At 36.4% G+C, this 19,293-nt stretch overlaps 1 protein-coding gene across 11 annotated transcripts in view, besides 6 other annotated features; it reads right to left on the reverse strand.

The window, feature by feature from the left end:
- SLC10A7 (solute carrier family 10 member 7) overlaps nucleotides 1-19,293 on the reverse strand; it is a 267,960-nt gene that overhangs the window by 80,881 nt on the left and 167,786 nt on the right. The gene's annotated exons all lie outside the window — the stretch shown is intronic.
- Nucleotides 15,145-15,194: an enhancer, noted in NCBI's record as "active region_21987". NCBI's record gives its function as "activates an Ori minimal core promoter by ATAC-STARR-seq in GM12878 lymphoblastoid cells {active_cell/tissue: GM12878}" and the evidence as "EXISTENCE:reporter gene assay evidence [ECO:0000049][PMID:35858748]".
- Nucleotides 15,205-15,264: an enhancer, noted in NCBI's record as "active region_21988". NCBI's record gives its function as "activates an Ori minimal core promoter by ATAC-STARR-seq in GM12878 lymphoblastoid cells {active_cell/tissue: GM12878}" and the evidence as "EXISTENCE:reporter gene assay evidence [ECO:0000049][PMID:35858748]".
- Nucleotides 15,429-16,015: an enhancer, noted in NCBI's record as "NANOG-H3K27ac-H3K4me1 hESC enhancer chr4:147271442-147272028 (GRCh37/hg19 assembly coordinates)". NCBI's record gives its function as "activates a minimal SCP1, AML or CMV promoter by ChIP-STARR-seq in naive H9 embryonic stem cells {active_cell/tissue: H9 hESC(naive)}" and the evidence as "EXISTENCE:reporter gene assay evidence [ECO:0000049][PMID:30033119]".
- Nucleotides 15,505-15,554: an enhancer, noted in NCBI's record as "active region_21989". NCBI's record gives its function as "activates an Ori minimal core promoter by ATAC-STARR-seq in GM12878 lymphoblastoid cells {active_cell/tissue: GM12878}" and the evidence as "EXISTENCE:reporter gene assay evidence [ECO:0000049][PMID:35858748]".
- Nucleotides 15,565-15,624: an enhancer, noted in NCBI's record as "active region_21990". NCBI's record gives its function as "activates an Ori minimal core promoter by ATAC-STARR-seq in GM12878 lymphoblastoid cells {active_cell/tissue: GM12878}" and the evidence as "EXISTENCE:reporter gene assay evidence [ECO:0000049][PMID:35858748]".
- Nucleotides 15,675-15,724: an enhancer, noted in NCBI's record as "active region_21991". NCBI's record gives its function as "activates an Ori minimal core promoter by ATAC-STARR-seq in GM12878 lymphoblastoid cells {active_cell/tissue: GM12878}" and the evidence as "EXISTENCE:reporter gene assay evidence [ECO:0000049][PMID:35858748]".

Genomic DNA, 19,293 nt, shown 5'->3' on the forward strand with positions numbered 1-19,293 from the left:
ACATGAAGAATTTTACTAAAATGAGGGGAAGATGGGTGCAGAGGAAGGGGAAAGTCAGTGATTGGGAACCTGTGTTACGACTATTGGGAAAGAGTCTAAGTTGGTGAAGGGTCTGAGATTACCACACTTTCAAGATGACAAGTCGGCCTGCCACACATTCAAGTATGCTGGCAGAAGGCTCAAGAGTCCTGGATCCTGGATGAATGAGCTATGACGATGTGGATGGCTGGATGTCAGGAGAAGATGATGTCAGTGTTTGGGGATCCTCAATAGTTGAAGGTTTTTGTTTTGTTTTGTTTTGTTTTTGCCAAAAACTTTTGGAAGAGCATTGTAATAGAATGTTATTGTCTCTTTCTTTTTAACTCATTAAAGTGTTGCCACAGATGTTGTAAAAAAAAAAAAAAAAAAAAAAAAAAAAAAGAGTCCTGGATCAGAGCCAAAGGATTTTACCACTCATAGAACAGCAAGCAGCCTAAGCATGATGTTGGTGTCATTTCCCCTTGTCCCCAAGTCAAGCAGGTGATGCAGATGGGCTCGAATGGATGCCTGCAGAAGCAGTGGACTGCATTCCAGGAAAGGAATACTGAGCTTAGGGAACCTGAATCTTTTATAAGAGGCAGAAAGCAAAGCTGCCCTTTGTTCCAGAGTTGAGAACAAAAGGCAGTCAGTGCCTCTGCTGACAAAATGTATAGAAATATGAGACACAGAGAGAACTGTCGCCCAACAGAGGAACTGTCCCGCAGACCAACCCAGTTGATATTGGTCATCTAAACATATGAGTTATCAAGCCCATTATTGCTCCCATCAAATACCACCACTGAGCTAATATTTCCATACAAGGAAATGATGATAAGATAATCATTTTGAAATGACCAGAAAAACTTCTCTCCAAGGTGACATTGATTGCCTAACACTTCATGAACACTATCATTTAAACAAGATTCTAACCAACTGAAGTGACTTCTAACTCATAATTTATTTACTCTCTTTGTTGTCTTAAAATGGGTGAATCTGCTAAATATCTTTTTGAAATCTAGATCCTCACTAGATTGAAATGTGATCTAAGCGCCAGCAACATTGATTTCACCTGGAAGCTTGTGAGAACTAGCTGAATATCAGACTCCGCCCCAGAACTACTATGTCATAATCTGCATCTTAGCAAGATCCCCAGGTAATTTGTAGGCATATTAAAATTTTAAAAAATGGATTTAGATTCTAGAGCAGAGGTTGGCAAACTTTTTCTGTGTAAGGCCAAGTAATAATTATTTTAGCCTTTGCAGGGACACTTCTGCAATTACTCAACTCTGCTATTGTACCTGGAAAGCAGCCAAAGACAATAGGTAAACAAATTGGCATGGTAAGATTTGCCCAAGGGCCATAGTTTGCAGATCTCTGCTCTGAAGTATTGCTTTGAATTAGAAATTATATTTCAAACAGAAATAAGTGTAACAAACTTGTTTTTAATAACTTGGCTTTGAGTGAACCCACGCTGGCTTCTAAACATCACACCATGTTCCTTTGTAACTCCTTACAACCCACTATTTAATGACCCATTCTTTAATTTTTCTTTAGACTGATATCAAAATTACTAGTTAATAGTGTGTACAATCCACTTTCTTCCTCTTTTTGGTATTTGCAGTGATGTTTGCACATTCCCAGCAGCTGTTGATTCTGCTCCTTCCCTTTATGATTTGTCAAAGATAGTGATTCAGGAATCTCAAATGTCAGTTTTCTCAGGATCCTATGATGTAATTTGTCTGGGCCAGCAGATAGTCCGCCTATCTTGGACCTGCTTTCCTTTGTCAATATTTACTTTACCATTTCTAATCTAAAGTTGGTTCTCCTTTACAAGGATAATGGAAGCAAAGGGATGGAGATCAGTGCAGAGGGGGAAATTAAAGATGCTGAATAGCAGACAGAATGTGTGGGGTTTAGGGCTCTAATATCTAGAGCTATATAAAAGAGGACAGAAAAATATAAGAACACAAAAGTGGAATAATATGTACATTGCTGATTAGAACTAATATAGTGATATATGTTAAAGATGAAAAACAGCATTCAAACTCATGACTTCTCTTTTTTGTTTTTAACTGAAAAAGCAAACCTTCAGGCAATGTAAACTCATAGAACTGTATTACATTAATTTGGCTTTTTCTATCCAGGTTAAGAGTGACAAAAACAATTTGAAATTTAATTAGAGCCCAGGGCAACAGAGATGTGGGAACTTTCTATCATTTTCCAAAAGATTTTCATGTAAACATCTTCTAAGTTTTAGATTTAACAGGCAATAAATAATTTTCTAAAGAAGTTTCTTAAAAATGCTTATTTGCAGAGTATATATTAGACCAAGGAGGAAGCAAAAGGAAACTAAATCAAAATTTATTTTTTGAAGACTAGAGTATAAAGACATAAGCTTTCACAGTGAAAGTAAGACCTAACAGAGCTCACTTTGGCCTGCATGCCTCCACCATGGGCACACAGCTACAATCTGAGGTTGCAGTTTTATTTTCCCTGAGAACACATGGAGCAGCCAATTATTAGTAGCACTGCAAACATTACACACAAGATACACAGCTCTCTTAAAATGTCAAGAGGATCATTTCACATTATCCAATGGTCAGCCAAAGTTCCTATGGCCTGAATATTATACATAGGAGCTTGTAGTATTTCTTGCTTTAGAATCATGGTTCAGTTGATATAAAACACCACCATCATAAAAATAGCCAATATTTATTGAGGTATATTATGTACTAGGAACTGTGCTAAGTACATTACAAACATTATCTAATTTAAAATTCTGGTAAGTAAATTGATTATCCTAATTTTATAGGTGAGAATAGAAAAGAGGCTTATAGAGACTAACCTAAGGAAGTGTCAGAAGATAGAACTCAACAAAAGGAATAAAAACAAAGTTGAGAGATCAGGAGATGGTCTGAGTTGTTAAAAAGAAAAAAATGTGCAAAGGAGGAAGCAGAAAATTTAAAAGAAAAAGATATTTAAGAAACAGATTGTAGAAAATTAATGTAAAATATATAATATTAATTAAAATTAGAGTCAACGATTACATATATAACTTGCCACTGGTGTTGGAATACATGAAAATAAGGCACTAAGTAACTCTCTTAGGTCACTAGAGTAACATGGATGTTTTTTCCCACTGGTTTAAAAGATTTAATGTGTATCTGCCATTCTGCTCATTGATGTCTGTAACACAACAGTGCCTGGCAAATATTAGGCATGCAATAATTTTTTTTGCTGAATGAAAGAACAAATGAATAGATGAATGTGTGTCCACAAATGTTTCTCTCATGGAGCAGCATATCCATTTGATAAGAAACACACACACTTTCTGAAATGTTTTAAAACCCTTGTGTTTGTAATAATAATGAGACTAGTTGACATTTATTGAATGCCTACTGTGTATATGTCAGCAACTGTTCTATGCTCTTTATATTTACTAACTCATTTGGTCCTCACAACAAACCTATGAGAAAGCTGCCACTACAATTCTCATTTTACAGAGGAGAAAATTGAGGTACATAGACAAGGAATTGTTCAGAATTCCCAAGCAGTAAGTGGCAGAATGGGAAGCAAGTCATGCAGTCTGGTTCCAGAATCCAAGATCTCTACCATTGTGTTGATATACTGGATAGGAGTTCTTTAAGAATTTAGAGAAATCAAAGAATTCTAGCTGAAAGAGACATTAGGGATAATGTGTTACCTCACTTTACAAACTGAAAAGTTGATGCCCAAGGAGGCAATGTCTCTCACTCTTGGGTGCAGAGTTAGTGGAAACACAAGGAGTAGCATTTTAGTGTCTCAAATTCCCTGCCCAGTTCTTTATTTCTGATACCACACTGCCTCCTACAAACCACTTGAGTAGAACAAAGCTCACATATGGAAGATCTGAAAGCAGTTACTCAGCACTATATTATTTACCATACATATAAAGCAACAAAACAAAACAAAACAAAAACACATAGATGATAAAATTAGAACAGATTAGAGGAAGGTTTTTAAAAGAGATTAAATCTTGAAATAGGCACTTTCATCCCTACCCTAAAAGGCCCATGAATTACCAACAAGACTATGGGAGAACATTTTTGAAAAAGCAAGGCAGAGACGTGGAATATGGAGGAGGGGGATAGTATGAAGTTCAATGAGGACAGAGAAAGGAGGCAATGGAAAGTGACTTGAGGGAGATTTGGGGAAGGGGCTTCTTATGTAGGCTCCTGGATGTTAAAATAAACTTCTAAAATAATCAAAAACTGATTCTCTTTTATATAAGACACTCAAAATAATGGTTTAATCAAAATCACTATTCAGATTTATAACAGAACTTTAACATAAACAAACAAAAAACCCAGACCATGTCTACACATGTGAAATGAATAGGTTTGGCATAGCTCATCTATTCCTTTTGGACGTGTCTAAATGATGGCACACACTGCTGTTAGATCTAGCTGTGACGATCAATACTGAGTATAAGATGGACACAATGAATGGAGACATCTGCACTACACTTGCCTTGTTTCATATTTCAATGGTCTGATTTACTCTGGTTTTTATAATATTCCTTAGCCAGAGCCATTCCTGCAGCTTAGAAAACCAGCTCTGAACTTTGTGACTCAGAGAGGCTTCAGTCAGGAGAAGGAGGTGGATTAACCAATGGTCCTAAGAAAGGTTTGCACCTCACATGAGCATCATTGGTCCACAGATCCTCCTGCCACCCCCAACACAAAGAGGCAGTAGGATCTGGGTATGCAGTTGCTTCCTTCCCTATCTACCTCTCACCATTGACACCAATTTTAAACAGGTTTCTCCCTAATAACATGTTTATTTATTATTTTTTCTCCAAGCCTAATCTACCAGATAAGGCATTTATTTTTTCTCATATCCTCACTTCTACTGACATGTTTTCCTGCCTTTTTATAGTTTCATTTGTCGTTTTTTTTTTTTTAATTTTACTTTAAGTTCCAGGATACATGTGCGGGATGTGCAGGTTTGTTACATAGGTATACATGTGTCATGGTGGTCTGCTGCACCTATCAACCCATCATCTAGGTTTTAAGCTCCGCATGCATTAGATATTTGTCCTAATGCTCTCCCTCCCCTTGTCCCCCACCCCGACAGGTCCCGGTGTGTGATAACATGTTTATTTTTATTAAATATCAGTAGTTGCTTCTTTCCCTATCTACCTCTCACCAATGACACCAATTTTAAACAGGTTTCTCCTTAATAATATGTTTATTTTTATTAAATATCAGGGGGTAGGAGAAGAAAAACATATATGTGTGATTGGGGTCTTAACAACCTAGAGATGCATCCTAGACTCTGAATCTCTCTAAGGCAGTGCTCTCCAAAGCCTGATGGAACTCTCAAGGGCAGAAGGAAAGGCAATAATAGCAAAAGGAAGAAGACTGTCTTATCAGTTTATAAGAACTGGTCAATGGACTTTTTTTGGTATAAAAAGTTCAACAACTAATAGAACAAGCAAATCACTTCGCCATAATCAAATTTCACCTTATGACCCAGGCTCTAGCAAATGCAGGCTCTAGTAAAAAACAAAGACCCAGGCTCTAGCAAAAATGCAAAGGCTCTAGCACAAAACAAAAAACAAAATATATATATACACATATACATATATATGTGTGTGTGTGTATATATATATATGGAGAGAGAGAGAGAGAGAGAGAGAGAGTGATTAGACTTTTAGACTTTTAACCTGGACATTTCTATGGTGAATTATTAAAAACAGTACTGAGTCATTTTTAGTTACATAGGTATATACAGCTAATTTTCCTTAATGTTTCAGTAGAGACTTATCCCAATAAAATTACTTCTAGACCTTAGCCATTGGGTGTTGTTACTAAGGAATTTTTAATAAGAAATAGCCAAGACTTTATATTAGAAATGGATGTACATATATTCATATCAGACATTTATTTTTAAATATCTTCTGCTAATCATTTCAATATCTTCAGAATTTAAAAGTGCCAGAGAGCAAGAAGCAATCATCTGGTAAATCACATCAATGGATTTACCTAAGTCTTTAAGGAAATTGAAAATCTATGTTAACATAATTTTTCTAGTTCCCCAGTAGAGGGCAACTTCTACACACTTTGACAGTTTAAAAAAAAATCTATGCACAGCACATTAGTATGAATCACTGCATGTTTAAAATAAAACAATATAACTTATGCTTATGAATGGATTTTCACTAACAGTAGCTTATAAAATGTCATGGAATTTTAAATTAGTAGTTAGGAATTGAATATATGTAATGAGTAATTAGCATTTTATGATTAATATAAGTATAATTGCAGGAACTTTAAAAGTAGCAACCATTAGGTCACTAAGATAGAATTATCAGGAATTTAAATAAAAGAGGGAAATGATCACAGTATTGTTCTTTAGTAACCATTTGGATTGAATTTCAATATAACTGAGTTCCAAATATAGCTAATATGTTGCATAAAATATTTTATTAAGAATAGGCAAAACCAAACCCCCCCAAAACCAAAAATGGCCATACACAAACATTTGAAAGTATAATTTAGAGTTTTTGATATTCTGTATTTTGAACTAACTTGAATCAGTGTTAGTGTTTTAATAACATCAGACATAAGAATGTAACCATGCACACATATGTTTATACATAAATAGGATAAAATTTCACCATAATACATCTCATTATTACATAGTATTCTATATAGTAGTTGGACACAATATAATATGTCCTCATTCATTCATTCAATGCTAATTTACTGAGCACTTATTATGTGCCAGATACAATTCCAGAAGTCAAGGATACAGTGTGACAAAAGTTCTCTGCCTTCTTGGGGCTTACATGTTCTATTAAAAAGTAATGTATGGTAAAGCCTTCTAAAAAGACAAATCTATGAGATGGATGCTAACCTTATAACACTAGTTTTTTATTTAAAAATTTGGCTTTGTTTTTAATACAGAAAATATTATAAGGAACAATGAAATGGTTCATAATCTTAAAACACAAATAACCCTTGTCGGCCTTAAACAAAGTTATACATGAATCTCATTAGAAAATTTTTAGTTGTATAGAAAAGTACAAAGAAAAATTGAAAATTTCTAGCTCCCTCTCAACTCAGAAACATTAGCAATTTCTTGTAATTCCTTACAGAAAAAAAACAGTATCCACCCATTCCTCTACCCACCTACTCATCCATCTAGCCTAGCGTTCTTAACTTATTCAAATTTATACAGTTTTCTTAAGATAATCATACTATACACAGTATTCTGTACATAGCTTTATCTTTTCCCACTTCTCTATATTTCCTGGAGCTCTTTCCATAAAAGAATATATAAGCACACCTCATTCTTTTATTTGACTGATTTTATTTTTTAATGTAGAAGTATTTTATCTATCTCTAAATATCTCACAATTCTAGTTTAAAAAGTGATTATACAGTTTTATCTGAAATTTATAAGAGCTGTTGTAGATAGTGTTAAAAGTATAAAGACTTAGAAATCATGACCTCCAAGAGGAAGCCTAAAAAATTACTTTTAATTTATTAGAGAACAGCAAATACAAGAAAAAAATAAGAAGAAATAAATATCTGTTTTGGACAAAAACCTTACCAATAGTTCTATTAGATCACACACAACGTAACAATCTTTTAAGAATGTCTTTATATGTGAATTAGAAATACTAGTGAATTTTTTTACCAGTAAATTTTAATAATAGTACTATTATTAAAATTTACAATCATCATTTTTTAGAGTTTCACTTAAATTTTTCAATAAAGCATGCAATAATTACTTTAGAGCATTCTATTTATAATACTACTTAAACCATATATTTGCTTCAGGGCCATATTTGATATTCAAATGTGATAAGAATTCTTAAATTTATAAAAATATTATGCAAAATAAAATACAGGGCACTAGGTGGTGCTGTGGGACCTTCCAGATAAACTAACACTGCAAAGGTATGCATTTGACAAATTAGTTGTGTGGTTGATTCTATATATTTAAATATACATTAAATATTTTTTATAGATAAAACAATGCACATAAATAAGAAGAGTAATATAATGAAAAAGCAAAGTTTTGATGGATGACCTCTTTGAGGAAGATACAACCCCGTTTCATAATCTCATACCCTAACTCCTGTGTTAAGCTATTAAAAAATCTTTATATAATAAATGTCATTTTTGAGGCATGCTTGTCAATCAACTATTATTTTCATTTACCTTTAAAGTTATTTTTTCATATGACCAAGAATTTAAAAGATGAATAATTATACATCCTTGTCAAACAATTTTCTATTAGGTGATTTCTTACAACACAGTACTGTAATCTTCTTGGGTTCTGTTTTTCTATTTTCCCCAGACATGACTGCTTGCTATAGAGCTACTAATTCAAATACTGACAGCCACCAGACTGGCAAGGTGAATGTGCAGATTGGGCCACAAGTAAAATAATAGGAAGTGAGGGCAACTTAGGAAACCCAGAATATAGAAAGCACATCTGTGGTCTGCATGTGGCCTGTGGGCCACTCATCTGTGACCTCTTAAGTCCAACATGTTCCTAACCATTTATCTATGAGTGACACATCTCAAAGATAACCTACAAATTTCAGTTCAAATGAAGGAGTGTAAATGCTTCTCAATTGTCCTTCTACAATGTTTAATCACTTATGTATGTCCTTCCTTAAAGAACAGAAAATATTAATGATGTGGGAGATAAACTAGTGGTCAAGAGCATTACTCGTCCATGATGAGCTACTGATTTAAAGAGAAGTACAGATTTAGTAGTCTTTTTATGGGCATGGTCTTCCTCTTCCCTGCAGGCACTTTCATGATTGTGAAGTACAATAATAAAGTACTTAATATTGAATTGATAGAAATATATGTTTAACATCAATAAAAAAAGGATAGAATTTATTCCCACTAGTAGTGATGGTGGAACTTAATATTACAGGTACAAGGTAAGAATGAAAATGAATTTTTAACAAATTCAACAAAACTCATCTAAAGGAATTTTTTAAACAAATTCAACAAAACTCATCTAAAGGAATGTTGTTCTTCGAGTCTGTCAATCAGAGAAGCAAAACTCATTTTTAAATGATGCATCATTCCAAATGTTTTTAGCTGCCCTCAGAAAGCGTTTGTGTGCTACATAAGAAAATAAGATAAAATCATGTCATTTCTGACCCGGAAGAGACCACAGAGATTAACAATCTCCCATTACTTTAGCTTCACCTCACAAATCAGTTCTTGAAAGATAAACACAGTTAAGTTGCAGTATCTAAGTGGGTCTTTGTTACAGAAAATGAAGTGACCGGATGCTCACGGGAAGCTATGCAGAAATCACAGTTTACTTTGAATGGAGACTATGCCTTACACCAGTAACCAATGCAAAAATATCACGTTTCAAGAATTTTCAATGTTGTCTAAACACTCACAGGAATCTCTACCAACACTACAAATCATTTGGAATTTTTAGAGGGTTTAATTGGTTCAAACAGATACACGGAAGAAGCGGTGAAAAGCAGAACTAGGTTAGAGCCACGCTGCCTGAATTCTTTTCATTTCACTTGTAGACTACCTGAAATGCCATCTTGGATGATAGTCTTTTTGGCTTAATAAGCATCTATTTTAAAATTGCATGTTTTCTTTTGAAGTAGTAGTTTTCACGGTGTGGCCTGGGGACCTACGGGTTCCTAAGACCTTTTGGAGGGCTCGGTGAGACAAAAACTACTTTCATTATATTACTAACACATTATTTGCCTTTTTACTCTCATTCTCTTGCAGTTATATAGTGGAGTTTTCCAGAGGCTACATGACATGTGATATCAAAAGAGATTTGATACACCAACAGTTTTATGTTAAGCCAGGCATTAAAGAGATTTGCAAAATGCAAAACAATAGTACTCTTCCCACTAGTTTTTGTTTGGGAAAATATAGTGATATTTCATAAAAATGTGCAAATTTACATATGATGAAGTTATTATTTTTAAATGAATTAATAATTTTCCAGCTTTAATTTCAAATGTGATCAATAGATAAATATCACCCATATAAACAACTGTTCTCTCTGGTCGTCAGCAAATTTTAAGACTGTAAAGGAGTTCGAAAAGTTGGAGAACACTGTTCCGGAAGAAAGCTACTCACATCTTAGTCAATATGCTTTCCTCTAAATACTGGTATGAATCTGAAACTTCTATCTGAATGAAATTTGCTTAGAAGCAAGAAAGGTCGAGCATTTTGAGGCAAGAGGTACTTTTATGGGCAAGACTAGCTTGATGCAGAGGGATAAACAGTGACGTGGGAACCACAGGCTCAGGTGGAATGACCCAGGTAGAAGGAACAGAGAGGGAGTCAAGAGTGCAATGGCAAATGCTCGTTTCTAAATTTAGCCTGAGACCAATGCTACATCTAGGAAGGGGTCATTTTTCTCTACCTTCTCTTACCTCTTATGCTCTGGGAGACTACAACACAGTTTCCACATTGAAATGCAATCCTTCATTAGTTTCCCACTGGTCTTTAAGGACGAATATTATAACTGTGGTCTACAACATTCTGTATTATCTGCTCCTGCCTACATTTCCATCTTTTTCCATTCTCCACCTGGCTCTCTATACGCTAGCCACAGGGCCCTTGGTCTATTCCTTGACCGGGCTATATTCACTTTCAACCTGCAGACATCAGCTTCCTTCAGTTATCAAGGAAGTCTTTCTGCCATTATAGATTCCCCCTAAATATGCACTCTTATGGCACTATAGATCTGCTTTATGGCATGCATCACAGTTGTAATTTTACATTTATTTGTGTGATTATTTCATTAATGCCTGCGTCTCCTTCACTAGGCTATAAGCTTTATGAGGAAAGGGACCATGCTTATTTTTACTCTATCTTGTATTTCCCATACCTAGTGAAATGCTTGGGACATAATAGGGGCCCATTTAATATTTTTGAATGAATAAATACATGAATAATAGGTATTATTTATTAAGCATTCCTCCTAGATACTGTTCTTGCACTTTGCAAGTGTGACATAATTTTGAAAAGAAGCCAATAGATAAGCACAATTATCATCCCCATTTACAGATGAAGAAACCAATGCACACAGAGGTTAGCTAATTTGCCCAAGGTCAAGCTGTAATTTTTGAGGTCAGGATTTGGACTCCAACAGTTTGATTTTAGCACCCACAACTCTATACTGTAGTTCAGTTGTCTTATGGATGAAAAAGCATTTATGGGCCCAATCTCCATTTATAAGGTTGGAATTCAAAATTATTCCTCATAGAAATCAATGACTGATTTATAAACTAGGAAGCTAAGGTACAAACTGATGACCAACTCTATTGGGGAACTGTGTGGAATAAGTTCTGAAATTAACTAGTATTAAGAAAACAACAACAACAAAAAACAACAAACAGCAGTTTCATGTGAGAGCTTTGGTAGCTTTTTATGTTTCATTGGTTATAACAGAAAAATACATATATGTGCAATATGTGTAATGTATTTTCTGAAGGTATGAGGGCAGCCCAAGAAACAATGACAAAAACAATGTCCTCTTCTGGATATCTAGAACTAGATAGTACATGTTAGGATTCAGAAAACCTTTGATCTTCTGAGAAATTCTATTTTTGAAAAAGAAAGTGAATCAAAATAAAGCTATGAGCCTTAAGTTTCAGAATTACATAGATACATGTCTCCCTTTTCAACTCGGTTTAATTTCAATTATAACTTTTCAGCTATATTTATTTTTCAACTAATTTTATTTCTATTAAGTTGGTCATTTGAAATTACAAAACAGTTTCATGAGTATTTAAATGTGTAACATAATTGTAATCTATTTTTTCTATTATCACAGCATGCTTAAGAATATATCACAATATGAAAAACAAAGATCCAGGAAACCTATAAATTCGAACAATTTATCATCTAAAACCTAGCAAGCCATATCATTATTTTTATGTTTCAAGTCAATTTTATATTATTAGGATCTTTGTGATTTCATTCAACAAATAATTTTTGGATACCTACTCTATGATAGGCATACCCAAGAGGAGGGGGGAAACAAAGATAAAGGTGGCCTGGTCTCTATCCTAAAAGATCTTACGGTCTAGTTGCAGCAAACTAAAAAGGTAAAGGCCAGATAATGGGGTTAAGGAAAGGCTGCTTACCTCACCCAACTGAGCGAGGGGTTTCAAAAGATGTAACATCTAAACTAAGACCCAAATGATCAGTAAGAATGGCCCAGAGAAGGGTAGAGGTGGAAGGCACCTAAAAATGGTTTAGGGAATGGTGGGGGTCAGAACAGCATGTGTGAAAGGCCTGTAGACAAGGAAGTGTGTTCGTGGTGCTTAGAGGAAAAGAAAGGCAGGGCATAGTGAATGGGACATAATAAACACCATTCCCATGGCACCAATCTCTCACAGAAGCTTCATGAAAAGATAACCAGTTATATCTACCAGCCTTCTCATCTTCCAGGAAATCAAAGACACAGAAAGGGCAATGAGATTATGAAATACCTCAAAAAGTGCTCTTTGGAAATTTAACTTTCCTCAGTGCTAAAACTTTGTTTTTTAAAAATTTTACTAGTAACCAAAATGTCAGCAAAACCGAATGTTACCAGTGCTGCTAAGTTGAGACATGGCTGGAGTGGAGGACAGGATTGTAAAGTTAGAATCTTAAGACTGTCCAAATCTTCTATGGCTGGCAAATGCTTTGTTCTCTGAAGAATATGTATTACTATAGTGAACTTATTCCTTCTGAAATTTTTCTTACTTAGCAAGGAGTTATTTCTATGCAAAAATGGAAAATTCAAAGACTAAAAACCCTCACTGTATAGTAATCTATATTGTTTGTGTACTGGTGCTGTCTGCTTAGCCCCAAGTCATCAATTATGTATAGAAATGTACAGCTACAGCAGTAGCCAGTGTCATGGGCCTGTCAGGGATTTCTTAAGAGGAACAAAAACACTTGATTCTATCTACTTTTAGAAAACACAGGATAGGTGAAAAGAGGAAGAAAATGAAAGAAAATATGAGTAATCCTCAATACATACATTGGCTTCTTATAATAAATGAAAAATAAATTTTAAAAAAGCACTTGAAACCAGAAATATAACTAAGAGAAAGCATTGGATATAGACACAAGAAAGGCTGACATCAGCACATCAAAACCACACACTTTAGAATACAAATTCATTTCTTATATATTCCAGGAAAAATAACTAATGGGGGTCACCAAGCTCTAACCTCTCTGAACCAAATTCAATGGATCCAGTGTTTACAACAAGGAGTAGTCACGTTATTTGAAATAAAATGTTCTGTAATTACCAAACCTCGTTGGCTTCTGAGGTGAGAGTTTTCATTCTAAATGAATGAAGTATGTTTACAAACTGACCTGGGAGCACAAGGACTATAAAGATTAACATGAAGAAAATGCAATCTAAGATATCTTATGGAATTTTCCCTATTATACCAAACACAGCAAAAGCTTTCACTGGGATTTCAATAAATTTAGTTTTACACATTGCTACAGAAATTTAGTTATTCTCCCTTTCTCTAGTGGATAGCTGGGGTAGCAGCTGGTGTGCTGTGTATTTAAAACGTGTAAAAGAACTCCTGTTCTCTCTCAGTACCTACATAAATGTGCTTGAGGAAATTTGAAAAAATGATTTGCTTTAAGTAAAATGACTTTATTACCTTTCCTGTAGGGTATTTGACAAGCTTTTAAACATCTAAGAGTCATGTTTTCAGAAAGCATACAGATTTCTTCTGGAGAAAACTACAGTACATAAAAACGTATCATTTAAATTTATGTAAATTTTCCTGAACCACACATTCTTGAATGTATATCTTCATTGTTCAACACTTTCTGGGTAGAATTTTTAATGCCTGATTTTTATAAAATAATTTACTTGACATGTAAATATTGTGAGATAGCCAAAGATATAATAATTTTCTATTACTTTAAAGAGTGTGTAACAGTCGCACTTTGTCATTACTATACAGGTTAGATCCCGTGCCATATTAGTCAACCAAATTCTATAAAATTGAAAGCATATTTAAAAATCAATGCTGAGACATTAGGAAATGCCTGAAACAGATGAGAACCAAATCAATTCCCTTATTTCTTAGATTTAAAATGGGCATAATTTGCTGATCATTCACTGAGAGTGTAATTTAGCAAAACAGACCCCAATGAATGCTGAAATATGTTTTCTCAGCTCTTATTTTTCAAATGATTTTTGCTGGTTTTAGTGTAAACAATTCCAGCATATTTAAACACATTACAATTAGACCCACAACCTACCAAATTAACTACTTGTTACTACTATAGTCCATTAAACAGACACTTCTCAAAAGAAGACATACAAGCAGCCAAAAAATACATGAAAAAAAATGCTCAACATCAACAATTATCAAAGAAATGCAAATCAAAACCACAATGAGACACCATCTCACACCAGTCAGAATGGCTATTATTAAAGTAAAAAACAACAGTTGATGGTAAAGCTGCAGGGAAAAGGGAACACTGGTACACTGTTGGTGGGAATGTAAATTATTTCAGCCACTGTGGGAAGCAGTTTGGAGACTTCTCAGAGAACTTAAAGCAGAACTACCATTCAACTCAGCCAATCCCATTACTGGGCATACATCCAAAAGAAAATAAATTGTTCTACTAAGAAGACACATGCACAAGCATGTTCACTGCACCACTATTCACAATAGTAAAGACATGGAATCAATCTAGGTGTTCATCAACAGTGGATTAGATAAAGAAAATGTGGTACTTATATACTATAGAATACTATGCAGCCATAAAAAGAACAAAATCATGTTCTTTGCAGCAACATGGATGCAGCTGGAGGCCATTATCCTAAGCAAATTAATGCACATTCTCACTTACAAGCGGAACCTAGATATTGGGTTCTCATGGACATAAAAATGGCAACAATAGACACTGGGGACTAATAGAGCAGGGATGAAGGAAGGGAGGCAAGGGTTGAAAACCTACTGGGTACTATGCTCACTATCTGGGTAATGAGATCATTCATATCCCAAACCTCAGCATTATTTCATATACCCTAGTAACAGTCCTGTACATGTACCCCCACAAATCTAAAATAAAAGTTGAAATTAAAAAAAAATATATATATAGGGGGAGGAGCCAAGATGGCCGAATAGGAACAGCTCCCGTCTACAGCTCCCAGCGTGAGCGACGCAGAAGACGGGTGATTTCTGCATTTCCATCTGAGGTACCGGGTTCATCTCACTAGGGAGTGCCAGACAGTGGGCGCAGGCCAGTGGGTGCGCGCACCGTGCGCTAGCCGAAGCAGGGCGAGGCATTGCCTCACCTGGGAAGCGCAAGGGGTCAGGGAGTTCCCTTTCTGAGTCAAAGAAAGGGGTGACAGACGCACCTGGAAAATCGGGTCACTCCCACCCGAATATTGCGCTTTTCAGAACGGCTTAAAAAACGGCGCACCACGAGACTATATCCCACACCTGGCTCAGAGGGTCCTACGCCCACGGAATCTCGCTGATTGCTAGCACAGCAGTCTGAGATCAAACTGTAAGGCGGCAGCGAGGCTGGGGGAGGGGCGCCCGCCATTGCCCAGGCTTGCTTAGGTAAACAAAGCAGCCGGGAAGCTCGAACTGGGTGGAGCCCACCACAGCTCAAGGAGGCCTGCCTGCTTCTGTAGGCTCCACCTCTGGGGGCAGGGCACAGACAAACAAAAAGACAGCAGTAACCTCTGCAGACTTAAGTGTCCCTGTCTGACAGCTTTGAAGAGAGCAGTGGTTCTCCCAGCACGCAGCTGGAGATCTGAGAACTGGCAGACTGCCTCCTCAAGTGGTTCCCTGACCCCTGACCCCCGAGCAGCCTAACTGGGAGGCACCCCCCAGCAGGGGCACACTGACACCTCACACGGCAGGGTATTCCAACAGACCTGCAGCTGAGGGTCCTGTCTGTTAGAAGGAAAACTAACAAACAGAAAGGACATCCACACCAAAAACCCATCTGTACATCACCATCATCAAAGACCAAAAGTAGATAAAACCACAAAGATGGGGAAAAAACAGAACAGAAAAACTGGAAACTCTAAAACGCAGAGCGCCTCTCCTCCTTCAAAGGAACGCAGTTCCTCACCAGCAACGGAACAAAGCTGGATGGAGAATGATTTTGACGAGCTGAGAGAAGAAGGCTTCAGATGATCAAATTACTCTGAGCTACAGGAGGACATTCAAACCAAAGGCAAAGAAGTTGAAAACTTTGAAAAAAATTTAGAAGAATGTATAACTAGAATAACCAATACAGACAAGTGCTTAAAGGAGCTGATGGAGCTGAAAACCAAGGCTCGAGAACTACGTGAAGAATGCAGAAGCCTCAGGAGCTGATACGATCAACTGGAAGAAAGGGTATCAGCAATGGAAGATGAAATGAATGAAATGAAGCGAGAAGGGAAGTTTAGAGAAAAAAGAATAAAAAGAAATGAGCAAAGCCTCCAAGAAATATGGGACTATGTGAAAAGGTACACCAATCTACGTCTGATTGGTGTACCTGAAAGTGATGTGGAGAATGGAACCAAGTTGGAAAACACTCTGCAGGATATTATCCAGGAGAACTTCCCCAATCTAGCAAGGCAGGCCAACGTTCAGATTCAGGAAATACAGAGAATGCCACAAAGATACTCCTCGAGAAGAGCAACTCCAAGACACATAATTGTCAGATTCACCAAACTTGAAATGAAGGAAAAAATGTTAAGGGCAGCCAGAGAGGAAGGTCGGGTTACCCTCAAAGGGAAGCCCATCAGACTAACAGCGGATCTCTTGGCAGAAACCCTACAAGCCAGAAGAGAGTGGGGGCCAATATTCAACATTCTTAAAGAAAAGAATTTTCAACCCAGAATTTCATATCCAGCCAAACTAAGCTTCATAAGTGAAGGAGAAATAAAATACTTTATAGACAAGCAAATGCTGAGAGATTTTGTCACCACCAGGCCTGCCCTAAAAGAGCTCCTGAAGGAAGCGCTAAACATGGAAAGGAACAACCAGTACCAGCCGCTGCAAAATCATGCCAAAATGTAAAGACCATCGAGACTAGGAAGAAACTGCATCAACTAACAAGCAAAATCACCAGCTAACATCATAATGACAGGATCAAATTCACACATAACAATATTAACTTTAAATATAAATGGACTAAATTCTCCAATTAAAAGACACAGACTGGCAAGTTGGATAAAGAGTCAAGACCCATCAGTGTGCTGTATTCAGGAAACCCATCTCACGTGCAGAGACACACATAGGCTCAGAATAAAAGGATGGAGGAAGATCTACCAAGCCAATGGAAAACAAAAAAAGGCAGGGGTTGCAATCCTAGTCTCTGATAAAACAGACTTTAAACCAACAAAGATCAAAAGAGACAAAGAAGGCCATTACATAATGGTAAAGGGATCAATTCAACAAGAGGAGCTAACTATCCTAAATATTTATGCACCCAATACAGGAGCACCCAGATTCATAAAGCAAGTCCTGAGTGACCTACAAAGAGACTTAGACTCCCACACATTAATAATGGGAGACTTTAACACCCCACTGTCAACATTAGACAGATCAACGAGACAGAAAGTCAACAAGGATACCCAGGAATTGAACTCAGCTCTGCACCAAGAGGACCTCATAGACATCTACAGAACTCTCCACCCCAAATCAACAGAATATACATTTTTTTCAGCACCACACCACACCTATTCCAAAATTGACCACATACTTGGAAGTAAAGCTCTCCTCAGCAAATGTAAAAGAACAGAAATTATAACAAACTATCTCTCAGACCACAGTGCAATCAAACTAGAACTCAGGATTAAGAATCTCACTCAAAGCCGCTCAACTACATGGAAACTGAACAACCTGCTCCTGAATGACTACTGGGTACATAACGAAATGAAGGCAGAAATAAAGATGTTCTTTGAAACCAATGAGAACAAAGACACCACATACCAGAATCTCTGGGACGCATTCAAAGCAGTGTATAGAGGGAAATTTATAGCACTAAATGCCTACAAGAGAAAGCAGGAAAGATCCAAAATTGACACCCTAACATCACAATTAAAAGAACTAGAAAAGCAAGAGCAAACACATTCAAAAGCTAGCAGAAGGCAAGAAATAACTAAAATCAGAGGAGAACTGAAGGAAATAGAGAAACAAAAAACCCTTCAAAAAATCAATGAATCCAGGAGCTGGTTTTTTGAAAGGATCAACAAAATTGATAGACCGCTAGCAAGACTAATAAAGAAAAAAAGAGAGAAGAATCAAATAGACACAATAAAAAATGATAAAGGGGATATCACCACCGATCCCACAGAAATACAAACTACCATCAGAGAATACTACAAACACCTCTACGCAAATAAACTAGAAAATCTAGAAGAAATGGATACATTCCTCGACACATACACTCTCCCAAGACTAAACCAGGAAGAAGTTGAATCTCTGAATAGACCAATAACAGGCTCTGAAATTGTGGCAATAATCAATAGTTTACCAACCAAAAAGATTCCAGGACCAGATGGATTCACAGCCAAATTCTACCAGAGGTACAAGGAGGAACTGGTACCATTCCTTCTGAAACTATTCCAATCAATAGAAAAAGAGGGAATCCTCCCTAACTCATTTTATGAGGCCAGCATCATTCTGATACCAAAGCCGGGCAGAGACACAACCAAAAAAGAGAATTTTAGACCAATATCCTTGATGAACATTGATGCAAAAATCCTCAATAAAATACTGGCAAACTGAATCCAGCAGCACATCAAAAAGCTTATCCACCATGATCAAGTGGGCTTCATCCCTGGGATGCAAGGCTGGTTCAATATACACAAATCAATAAATGTAATCCAGCATATAAACAGAGCCAAAGACAAAAACCACATGATTATCTCAATAGATGCAGAAAAAGCCTTTGACAAAATTCAACAACCCTTCATGCTAAAAACTCTCAATAAATTAGGTATTGATGGGACGTATTTCAAAAAAATAAGAGCTATCTATGACAAACCCACAGCCAATATCATACTGAATGGGCAAAAACTGGAAGCATTCCCTTTGAAAACTGGCACAAGACAGGGATGCCCTCTTTCACCACTCCTATTCAACATAGTGTTGGAAGTTCTGGCCAGGGCAATCAGGCAGGAGAAGGAAATAAAGGGTATTCAATTAGGAAAAGAGGAAGTCAAATTGTCCCTGTTTGCAGACGACATGATTGTTTATTTAGAAAACCCCATCATCTCCGCCCA

Source organism: Homo sapiens, chromosome 4 (genome assembly GCF_000001405.40).
Source record: "Homo sapiens chromosome 4, GRCh38.p14 Primary Assembly".
In the NCBI taxonomy this organism is placed as follows: Eukaryota; Metazoa; Chordata; class Mammalia; order Primates; family Hominidae; genus Homo; species Homo sapiens.